The 12,104-nt window shown below is 38.0% G+C and overlaps 1 protein-coding gene across 26 annotated transcripts in view, besides 2 other annotated features; it reads right to left on the bottom strand.

The window, feature by feature from the left end:
• Positions 1-12,104, bottom strand: part of DNM3 (dynamin 3) — a 576,969-nt gene that overhangs the window by 442,983 nt on the left and 121,882 nt on the right. The gene's annotated exons all lie outside the window — the stretch shown is intronic.
• Positions 8,263-8,939: an enhancer, noted in NCBI's record as "NANOG-H3K27ac hESC enhancer chr1:171935685-171936361 (GRCh37/hg19 assembly coordinates)". NCBI's record gives its function as "activates a minimal SCP1, AML or CMV promoter by ChIP-STARR-seq in primed H9 embryonic stem cells {active_cell/tissue: H9 hESC(primed)}" and the evidence as "EXISTENCE:reporter gene assay evidence [ECO:0000049][PMID:30033119]".
• Positions 8,940-9,616: an enhancer, noted in NCBI's record as "H3K27ac hESC enhancer chr1:171935008-171935684 (GRCh37/hg19 assembly coordinates)". NCBI's record gives its function as "activates a minimal SCP1, AML or CMV promoter by ChIP-STARR-seq in naive H9 embryonic stem cells {active_cell/tissue: H9 hESC(naive)}" and the evidence as "EXISTENCE:reporter gene assay evidence [ECO:0000049][PMID:30033119]".

Below are 12,104 nucleotides of genomic sequence, written 5' to 3'. Positions count from 1 at the left end.
AGTCACTTAAGTATTGTTTGGGGTCCTACAAAAATATTTATTATCAATGATGTCCCAAGCAACATCGACCTAGTCAGTACAGTATAACTTGGTAATAAGAGTACATATTCTTACATTAAAAGGTCTAAACAAATAAAAATAAAGATTTTGTCTTGTAAATATCATGGAAATTCTTGGACATATGACAATTGGTTATATAAAACTAAAATGCCGAGCCAATTCATCTGATAAGACGCTTTTGCTTAGAAATGGTAGAAATAATTCTATGACTCAGGCAATAGAGTCAACCCAATCATTTCTTGAAAGTTTTTTAAAAAGCAAAACAATGGCCAGGTGCAGTAGCTCATGCCTATAATCCTACTGCTTTGGGAGGCCAAGACATGAGGATCACTTGAGGCCAGGAGGTCAAGACCAGCATGGGCAATATAGCAAGACTCCCTCTTAAAAAAAAAAAATCTTTTTTTCATTAGCTAGGCATGGTGGCATGCACGTGCAGTCTTTAGCTATTCGGTAAACTGAGACAGGAGGATTGCTTGAGTCCAGGAGTTCAAGGGTGCAGTGAGCCTTTAACTCCAGCCTGGGTGACAGACCAAGACCCCAACTCAAAAAAAAAAACAGTAGAAGAAGAAGAGGGGGAGAAGGAGGAGGAGAAAAAAGAAGAACCAAAGGTTGTCCTTAGTATGAAGAAAACTCAATTAATGGAACAGGTCAACTAGTGTATAAATTATCTAAATTGGGATAAACTTAAAATATTTAGAAGTTTCCCTTAGATAATTTTTGTTTTTAATCCCAGAGGATTCTTACAAGAATAGCCAGCACTCAGTAAAACCTAATGCATTATGCAGTCAGTTTAAATGATGCTAACAGAAATGCACCTATAAAGAAAACAAACTAAAGTTCGGATCCAAAACTTTGTATTATGGTTTTCTTTAACTCAATTTGTATGTAAATTAATACTTAGCTATGATAGTCACTAATTTTCTCAATGGGAACTTAATGGAAAACTCTCTCACAAGGACAACCACCCTCAAAAGAGAGAGCCCCTCAAAAGGGACTTAAATATGAAAAGTAATCAATTTCTTTTGCAAAATAGATAAAATTATGGGAGTGGAAAAATAGACAGTCATGAAAAATATATGAGAAAAAAACTATCTTACTTGAAAAGCAAGTGCACTCATTTTAGAGGGTCCTTAATATGAATAATATAGATCACAATGAAAACTGCAATTTCAATAACAGTGTAGTGACTACTCAGTGATCTGATTGTGTCATCATATGAAAAACTGATTTGAAATACTGCATTATTTAATAATACTTAGTAGTTTCATAAATTTAGAAGTCTATCCAAAATATCTGCAGCATCCCTCTCTCAACCTTTGAGTTTATATGTAAATTACTCCTGAAATAAAGTAAGTTTCTTCTTGTTAACCTCACAAGAGTCAGCCATGCCTACAGTATTCTGAAGTAAAAAACACTAGTGATTAAAAAAAAAACAAAAACACTAGTGATTAAGACTTTGGGCGACGAGTGGTGGCTCATGCCTATAATCTTAGCACGTTAGGAGGCCAAGGCGGGAGGATCACGTGAGCTCAGGAGTTCAAGACTAGCCTGGGCAACATGGTGAAATCCCGTCTCTACCAAAAATCCAAAAAATTAGCCAGGCATAATGGCACATGCCTGTAGACCCAACTATTTGGAAGGCTGAGGTGGGAGCATCACTTGAGCCCTGGAGGTTGAGGCTGCAGTAAGCCAAGATTATGCCCCAGCCTGGGTGACAGAGGGAGATCTTGTATCAAAAAAAAAAAAAAAAAGATTTTGGAGTCAGACCCATGTTTGAAGGGTCTGCAATTTCTTTATCACAAGACTGAGAAATTACTTAACTTCCCCAAGCCTCAGTTCCCTCCACTGCAAAATAGTGTCTCTTTCATAGGTTTCAGTGAGGGCAAGAGAATGAATTCTTCTGCTTCATTCACCAAAATTCTCCCAGTAACTAGGTATAGGGTCTCAACAAATTCATACTGTATCAAAGAATATATGAATGAAGGCATTTAACACATAGTAAACCCTTAATTAAAAAAAAAGAATTGAGTAAATATGTAACAATTAATCTAAATAGCAAAAGCCTTAGCCTCAAAGAGGTTAAACAAATTGCCTGAGGTTACACAGGTAGGAGATGCCAGTCAAAGATTTAAATCCAGACATTCTGACTCCCAGTTACAATCTGTTAGCCACCCCACATTAACTGTGTGTCACTACTTCAAGCTCTCCCCTCCAAGAGGCTTTGATTCCAATTCTTAGCTTTTAACATCTTCTTTGTTATCAACTGTTCATTCTTTCCACCAGCACCACTATCCCTCCTCCCCCGCCCCCTACATATGGGCATTTCCCAAAATATAGGAATCATATCTCCTACTCTTTATACTGCGGTTCTTGTTTCTGGGGTTATGACTACTTTAAGCATCTGAGAAAAGCCACGGAAACTTTCCCCATAAAAATGTACTAACTTACATATACACAGAATTGTGCAAATAACTTCAGGGTATTGAGAGAGAACTCTGCTCCACCCTCTTCCCCACAGGAATCTGGGGTTTTTGTTGTTGTTGTTGTTGTTGTTTTTGTTTTTTGTTTGTTTTTGAGATGGAGTTTTGCTCTTGTTGCCCAGGCTGGAGTGCAATGGTGCGATCTCAGCCCACTGCAACTTCCACCTCCCGAGTTCAAGCGATTCTCCTGCCTCATCCTCCCAAGTAGCTGGAATTAGAGGCATGCGCCACCACGCCCGGCTGATTTTGTATTTTCAGTAGAGACAGGGTTTCTCCATGTTGGTCAGGCTGGACTCAACCTCCCGATCTCAGGTGATCCGCCCACCTCGGCCTCTCAAAGTGCTGGGATTACAGGCATAAGCCACTGCGCCAAGCCTAGGAATCTGTATTTAAAGTGCCTCGCATACTGCCTTCTGCACAGCAAACACTCAATAACTGGTTTTATCACTATTATAGTATATGCCTATCAAAACAACCTAACAAGGCCCTCTTCAAATATCATTTCCACTAAGAAACTTCCCTTGATCTCTCCACTATAAGGAATGTGTTTCTCCTCTAAAGCTTTTCAAGATCTTGTGAATGTACTACTTACGTGATTTTGCATGTAGAAACAGCCTTAAAGATTTTCTACCAAAGCCAGTGCTTGCTCTTTACAGATAAAGAAACTAAATCCCAGAAGGCTAAGTAACACGTTCAAGAATATTCATATAACATGTATTACGCCTTCCACAGCGTAGTAACTAGTTGTTTGTGTTTTATCTCCAGTGCTACAAAGAAAGTGCTTAGAGAGTAGGACTATGTCTTCTACATCTTTGATTTAACATTCCTTAAGGATACAGAAATGATTACAAGAATAAATGAATGAATGATTCCAAGTCAAAACTGAACTACTATTTGCTGTTTTTCAAAGACTATGAGGTCTTGAATACCTCTTTCAGCATTTTAGAACTTCCAGTGTTCTTTTCCTCGTTCAGTATGAACCAACACTCTAGAGCAAAATCTCTCAGACTTTCCTTTTAGAAGCAGATCTTTTTATGAGCCATCTCCTCCCCTTCTGGTCTAATCAGTTATAGAGACTAACTCAGGATAAGACTCTCAAGAGTATGTTGTTGCTGTCTGGACTTCATTTTCGTATGAAGCTTAATACCATGAAAATATTATATTTTCAATTTCCCAAAACCTGTGTTGGCTTTTGTGATAAGGTTTTCTGGGTTTTTTGTTTTTGTTTTTGTTTTTTTAGCAAGCCTTCAATTACACATTGTGCTTCTTAGGTTGCAGAATTCAGACTATTTTGCTTCTTAGGTTACAAAGTTCAGATTATTTTCCATTCTGTAATATATCCTTTCAATTGGGAGTGGCGTTTTCTGGCCATATGAAAATCTGCTACTCATTAAAGAATTAAAGAACTACTACTATAGGGAAACAAAGTGTTAAGCTATATTTCATAATTGAAGAACTTACCAAAGTTGGAAAAGAAGACAAACTTGTGAAAATTAAGCAAAAGATTTAAATAAAATTTCAAGATAAGCAGCTTAATGAATAATTGTCAAATGAATGCTATGTAGATTTCACAAAGGGAGAGGTCTTTTTAGGGTAGAGTGATCTGTAAAGGATTTATAGAAAGGGTAGAATCTGAATTAGACTTAGGAGACTTCATATAATTGGGAAAAAACCAAGAGGAGAAAAGAGAATATTTAAAACTATAAACAAGTGATTAACAAAAGCACCAAAGAGAAAAAACAAAAGGAAATAGGAGATATACGGCTGGGCAAATAAGAACACATACCAAATTTTTAAAAATAAAAATGTGTGAAATTAACAAGTGAAAGCATAAAGCATTTATGAAGAAGTGTAAGAGATAGAATGCATTCCTCTTTGTGGTTAAATGTTAAATAAGATAATGCACAGAAAGAATTTAATACAATGCCCATTTCATACTAAGTATATTTAAAATGTAGGCTACTGTTATTATTTTTTTAAATGTTCAACATAAAGGTAATGCTGAAATTTGACAAGCACACCACTGGATTGTTATAACCTGTTAGGGAAAGAGATTTCCACAGAAAACAAAACTGAATTCTGATAATAGCTACTTGATTCTTCTTTGTTAACATCCTGAAAGAAGAAATTTTAAAAAAATCCAATTGAGACCCATTGAAAAACAGTGACCAGTAAAAAGTTAGAAGGAATGTTAGTTGTATACACAACATCATATATACAATATTGAGCTCAGTGGTCCTAATGATGATTCTTACTATACCCTATATTTGATTTAAAAGCTAATTTTAGAATACAGCGCTTACATAAGATGGAACTGCATTGCATATGAAAATTCATACTCATCCTAAAAATAATTTGGAGGATAATTATATATCTTAGCAAAAATATTTCTATCTATCACATTTAAAATAAAATTTGAATCCAAAAACACATTTTATATACTTATTCTTAACACACGCTTGTTACCTAAGTTAGTATGTAAATTAACACATATTAAGTACTGTTAATACCCCACAAAAGTTCTGGAAAATAGGTATTCTCCTGGCTAACCTGTAACTTCTCTGTGCTTCAATTTCTTCCTATGTAGAATGGAAATAATAATGATCATGATAATAATGATAATAATATTCCATAAAGCTAAAAAAAGTCAATTTCCCAAAAATGTTACCCTTAAAATGTTTAATATGTATTGTCTTACCTTTATTATTCTTCAGTAGTTCTGAGTTTGTTATTGGATTATTTTAAAAATTATTTCAAGATATAATGATTTTTCGTGCTTCAAAGTATTCCATCGATAAAATGAAAATAGCAGTAGGATGCAGAAGGAAGGAACTATCTATGCCAAATAAGAATAAGTGCTTATCTTTATCTGTTTCCGCCAAAACTTGTGGTTTTGCCCAATGAAAGCCCCAAAGTCACATGGACTTCTATATTTACTAACTCTTGACCCTTAGAGTAAATTAAAAATGACTGAGAATCTGCTGTACTACACACCAAGCTTTTAGTCACACACATTATTTCATGTTAATACTCCAAACAACCCTGACTGTTCTGGGTAAACTGTAACTTCTCTGTGCCTCAGTTTCCTCTATGTAAAATGGGGATAGTGTCACCTACCTCCTAGGATTGTTGTGAGGATTAGATAAGACCATATATTTATTAGGGCCCAGAGAGCAATACCTCAAAATACGGTGTTTTGACATGCTGAACTAAAGAAGCAGCCCCAAGGTCTCTCTCTGGCCTTCACTTGCCTATCTGTTTCTTTAATCTTTTTTTGCTGAAGCACATTGGGAGAGACCCTTTCTAGAATTTCCTTTATATGACCAAGAAAGCTTCTTTATCAAAGAAATGCAATTATTTTAAGACCCCCCGTTTCTAGGAATCCCAATGAAGAGACTAGGAGTCATCACCATGTCCAGACAGACTTCTCATCTATTGTTAGGGCAGCTCCAGAGATTACCTGGGAGATGCTATCTGCATAATAAGACAACTTTTGTTCACAGTGAAGTTCAGCCCCTCGTGTTCCCACTGCCTCCCTCAGAGCTCACAGGAACTTCATCCTGACTATGATTTATCATTGTTCTTTGTGCTCATTCATTCCCCCTAAAAACCAATTACTCCTACACCTCTACTTCTCTTAACCCAGTGAAGAGGGTACTTTAGCATCAACCATGTGGCCCTTCTTTGAGTTTTCCTATTTTTTATGGTTCCCATGCTTATACACATTAATAAATCATTATGCTTTTCTCTTGTTAACCTGTCATTTTTTTATAGGAGTGTCAGCCATGACCTTTATGATGAGGAGCAAAGGGATCACCTCCTTTCTCTCCCCACATTTGGAAAACACTTAGACAAGTGCCCAGAAAGCATGTACATGCTAAAGCTCGTGTAAATGTCATTATTAAAATAATGATAACAGTTATTATAGCTTTTCTAAGAAATAAAGTGTTTTTCCATCAAAGCTAAATAAGCCAATTGAAGGCAGAATCTGAGACATCTCTACGAGTTTCAGCTGTAACCACTAAAGTTCACACTTGAAGAACACAACAATAGCATAATTTTGCATTTGGTACTTGAAATGCACCTTTATATAGCAATCACTCATTTGTTCCAACAGAAAATTAAAAACAATATTTAAATTTAGTCCCATTTTTTTTCCCTTAGTATAGCTTAGTAAGCAAATGGGACAGAAGACTGGACTTTCGCTCCAACTATAATAATTCCTTAAGACCGTTATAGGAGGCCATCGGTTTGGACTGAGCTCCTGCACTAAGCCCAACACATACCAAGCCAAAATGGGGTCACTCAAGCTGAAGTTCCACACCACCAAGCCAACACTAAGTTATTTCTCTAACCTTCCATGATATCAGGAGAGAGATAATAGCCAAATTTCCAAACAAGCCAGTGCTAGCTGGCATGATAATGAAGTCCCCTCTGCTTTAACCTTTGCAAGAAAAGTAACCTTGAAACAACCCAGCCTTTTTTGGTTTTCCGTTTCTGCCTTCTTGGTCCATTTCTGTCTATTAAACCAACCTCTGCTCAATTCATTGGGAACACTCATTCTATTTTGTAAAATGAGGAGTTGCCTGATTCTAGAATCACAAATAAAAGCCAGTTAAGATCTTTAAGCTAAATTTGTTGTAATTTTGTCTTTTGACAAGATGGAAGTTTTCAGTATCAGAAGAAAAAAAAAGGTAAGCTTTTGAGTTTCTGTCATCACAGAATCATACTGATTAGAAGCCTCAATAGCAGAGAAAGTACTTTGAACTCACAACAGAGCATTTTCCGTGTGTTTAGCACATGTATACATTCAAAGCATCTTCATTTGCTCTATCTCATTCAATCTTCAAAACCATTTTATGGAAAGTGATCATCAAAGAGATTAAGTTGTAGTGGCAGAGGGAAGGCTTCCTCTGTGCCCACTGAAGGTTTGCTAAAAATAAGCTGACAAAAGGCAGTTTAGTAGGAGAAAAAGGCATACAAAATTTAATTTGCATAAACACAGAAGCAATATACAAAGTATGAGACTCAAAGAGGGTCCAGATGATTGAGGCTTCAAATCTCTCTTCACAGAGGAGAGACATAAGGACCTGTAAGGTATATATTATTTTGTAAATGATTGTCTTTGAAAGCTGGATGGAACAAGTTATGGGAAGGTAAGGGGTGGACAGAACTGCACAGAACAAAGGTTGTCTTATTATGCAAATAAATTTCCCCAGTTAATTTCTTGGAATTGCACTCAGAAGAACAGATGAAAAGTCTGTCTGGGCATAGTGACTTGGTGACGATTCCCAATCCCTTCTGTTTCTCTGAAGGTTGATTTTTCCTGGATATTTGATGAGATTTCTAGGGAGCGTGCTCTTAAAACAACTGCACTTCTTTGTGAAATACACTTTCTTAGATAAGGAAATTCCAGACAGAATCTCTCCCCCTCTTCTTCTTGGGAAAATAAGGAGGATGAGAGAGACAGAGGAAAGTCAGAACCTTGGTTCTGAGGCCTATTTCTAAGGCCTTTTCATTTTCAAAGCACTCAGCATGTCAACAAGCTAGATTTTGGGGAATTGTTTTCTACACCCCAACAAAGTAATTTCTTTATAAAGTCACAAACTAAAAAATGGTAGAAATACAAGAAGTCAGGTCATTTCACCACTGGTCCAGAGCTCACTTCACCATACCAAGTCACATCTTCATGAAAAGTGTTTTAGTTCCAGTGGAAATCTGTAAGTATGAGACTGCCACCATATGTAGAATTGACATAAAAAATGACTCAGAACTGATTTTTTACCTCTTAGGCCTGTGATCTGAGAGACCAAAATAGATTCCCTTTTGTCAACTAAGACAAACCCTAAGGTTAAGGAAACAAAAGTTACCTACAGGTCTAGGGTTCAGGGCTCAGCTGGCATGACAACTTCCTAAATTCCTAAGGCTACAAGAAAAACCACACCCTTGCTACACTCCATAACAATAGGAGCTATTCGACCACTCTTAACTCTGATTTACAACCCAGAAAACTACGACTCAATGACTGAACAGAAGGCTGGCTTTATAAACATTTTTCTCTGATAAGCAACTACAAACCTTAAGCCAATTTCAGCCAGGTTATAGAGGTTACACACAAACTGTCTTTGTGTCCTATAGTTTGCCCTTTGATTTAAAGAGCCAAATTCCACCTCATTTTAATGCTGAAACTCCACCCCAAAGTGAACATAGTGTGTATGTTACACATGGTACCCACTGCATATGCACTTGGCTCCTCTTGTAAATATGGATAGCTTTTCTCTCAAACTTCTGAATGTGTATGACTCTATTGTGTAATACAACTCTGTGGAGCATAAAATCCAACCTGCACCTTCCCACTTCAAAGGGAGAATACCCTGGGTCGATGCCAGAGACTCTCTTCCTGATTTGCAAACTGCTATTGCTAATAAAGCTCTTCTTTCTACTATTTAGCCATCCTGGTGGTCTTTTGGATGACAAGCCCCCTTAACACTTCTGAGAATATAATAATACAAGGATCAGGAGAAGTGGAGATCTGTGAACCCCACCCTCTGCCCATGAAGGGCAAGTGAGGAAGATGCCTTCTTCTGCCCTCATGCTTAGTGAGAGACCTTTCAGAGAGCTTGAGATCCTGCAGCTGAGGGAGAGGGAAGCTTCTGTGCCTGGCTTAGGCCAGAGAAAGCTCAAGCCTGTGGGAGTAGACTGGGCACCATCAGGGCAAAGGATAGAATATGTGAAAAATTCCCATAGAACAGATGTGGGCCACGTGGGAAAAGAAGCTGCCCAAAAGACATTTAAGTGTTGTTTGGGAGGGCCACCTGGGAGGGCAAGGGGACTTCAACAGGGAGTATCTCTATGGACCAAGTGGTGAATGCAACATAAGAAGAAATATATATTTGGTATCTGCCCATGGTTCCTGACACAGAGCTTCTAAAGCTCTTGGAATTTCCTGAGTCATGGGGATGACAGAAGTATCGTTTGTTATTCATAACAAATCCCTTTCAACCATACCTAAGTTTACGCTAATGGGGGGATTCTTCATTGACCCCTGTTGCCAGAGAATCCAACTACATGACTAGAAAGTTGGAATTCTCACTCCTACCCCCTAATCTCCAGGGAGGGGAGAGGAGCTGAATATAGATCACCAATGGCCAATGATTTAATCAATCACATCTATATAATGAACCTCCATAAAAACTCTCACTGAAGGGGTTCAGACAGCTTCAAGATTGTTAAATGCATCCACTTGCTGGGAGGGGGACACGCCTCAACTACATGGGGACAGAAGCGCTCATGCTTCAGACCCTTCTGGACCTCGCCCCATGTACTTCTTCTGGCTATTCATCTGTATCCTTTATAATATCCATCCCCCGCAACAACCCTTTTTTTTTTTTTTGAGACAGGGTCTAGCTCTGTTGTCCAGGCTTTACAGTGGAACAATCATGGCTCACTATAGCCTCAACCTCTTCAGGCTCAGGTAATCCTCCTACCTCAGCCTTTCAAGTAGCTGGGACTACAGACACATGTCACCATGCCCAGCTAATTTTTGTGTATTTTTTTTTTTTTTGTAGACACAGGGTCTTGCCATGTTGCATGGGCTGGTCTCAAACTCTTGGCCTCAAGCAATCCACCCACCTCAGACTCCCAAAGTGCTGGAATTACAGACATGAGCTACCATGCCCAGCCTACAATATCCTTTTTAATAAACCAGTAAACAAAAGTGTTTCCCTGAAATACATGAGCTGTTATAGCAAATTATTGAATCTGAGGAAGGGGTCATGTGAACCCTTAATTTGCATGTGAACCCCTAGTCAAATTGCACAGAAGTGTGGATTACCTGGGGACTCACTACTTGAGATTGGCATTTGAACTCGGGACAGTCTTGTGGGACTGAGACATCAACCTGTGGAGTCTGTGTTAACTGAATAGTTAGTGTCAGAATTGAATTAAATTGTAGGACACCCAGCTGGTGTCCACAGAGAATTGAGAAAACTGCTTGGTTAGAAAATCCACACATTCAGTGTTAGAAGTGTCATAAGCAGAGACACAGTTTTCCATCAGTTGGGAGAAAAAAAAAAAGGTGCCACAACGGAGGTTCCCAGGGAAGAGAAATCACTGAGGGGACCAAGCTAGACAAAGCCTTTTCGCCCCTCTTGTGTCCTGTTTATTCGACTTTCTGGTTATACTTAAACTAAAATACTATCAAAAATACAAAGTATAGTTTTTAATTATTTGGTAGAATACCATGAATCAAGGTATTCTCACTAAAGTTGCCAGTGAAAAGAGTCAAACTCTGTAAAATATTTTAAGAGATTTATTCTGAGCCAAATATGGGTGACCATTGCCCATGACACAGCCCCAGGAGATCCTGAGAACATGTGCCCAAGGTGGTTGGGCTGCAGCTTGGTTTTATGCATTTTAGGGAGTCATAAGACATCCATCGGTACATGTAAGATGTACATTGGTTTGGTCTGGAAAGGCAGGGGTGGAGGGGGTGGCTTCCAGCTCATATGGTGGATTCAAAGATTTCCTGACTGGCAATTGGTTGAAAGTTTATCTAAACACAGGAATCAACAGAAGGGAGTTTCTGGGTTATGATAAGAGGTTGTAGAGGCCGAGGTTCTTATTATGTAGGTGAAGCCTCCAGTAGCAGGCTTCAGAGAGAATAGACTGTAAATGTTTCTTATCAGACTTAAAAAGGTGCCAGACTCTTAATTCTCTCCTGGATCAGGAAAAAGACCTGGAAAGGGAACAGCATTCTTTACAGAATGTAGATTTTCCCCACAGGAGACAGCTTTGCAGGGCCATTTCAAAATATGTCAAAGAAATATATTTTGGGGTAAAATACTTTGATTTATTTTAGGGCCTGCTAACTGTCATGTTGGTATCTTATTGCAAAAATGGTCTGTTTTGTCAGCCTAAGGGTTCTGTTCTAATGTTAATGCTGGTCAGCTGTGCCTGAGTTTCAAGGGGAGGAATATATAATGAGACACCTCTGACCACCCATTCCTATCATGGCCTGAACTAGTATTTCAGGTTTTTTGAATGCCTTTGACAAGAGAGTCATCCATTCAGGTGGATGGGGGGCTTGGAATTTTATTTTTGGTTTACATGGTAAACAGCTTTGAAAACAATCTCTTAGGATTTTTTTTTGGCTGTGATTTTATATATATATATACGTTATCTATATAGAGATAATATATATAATATCTATATAGAGATAATATAATTATTTTCACCACTTTTTAAAAAAAAGACCATTTTTAGAGCAGCTTTAGGTTCACAGAGAAATTGACCAGAAAGTACAGAGTTCCCATATATCCCACCTCCTGCCCCTGCATATGCATTACCCCAATATCAACATGCATCACCAGAGTGGGACATTTGTTACAATAGATGAACTTATATTGATACATCATTATCACCCAAAGTCCATAGTTTACAGTAGGGGTCCCTCTTGGTGTTGTATATTCTATGGGTTTTGACAAATGTTGTATCCACCATATAGTATCATACAGAGTATTTTCATTGCCCTAAAAATCCTCTGAGATCCACCTATTCATCTCT

Source organism: Homo sapiens, chromosome 1, assembly GCF_000001405.40.
Source record: "Homo sapiens chromosome 1, GRCh38.p14 Primary Assembly".
Lineage (NCBI taxonomy): Eukaryota > Metazoa > Chordata > Mammalia > Primates > Hominidae > Homo > Homo sapiens.
This window is presented reverse-complemented; position numbering and strand designations above follow the sequence as displayed.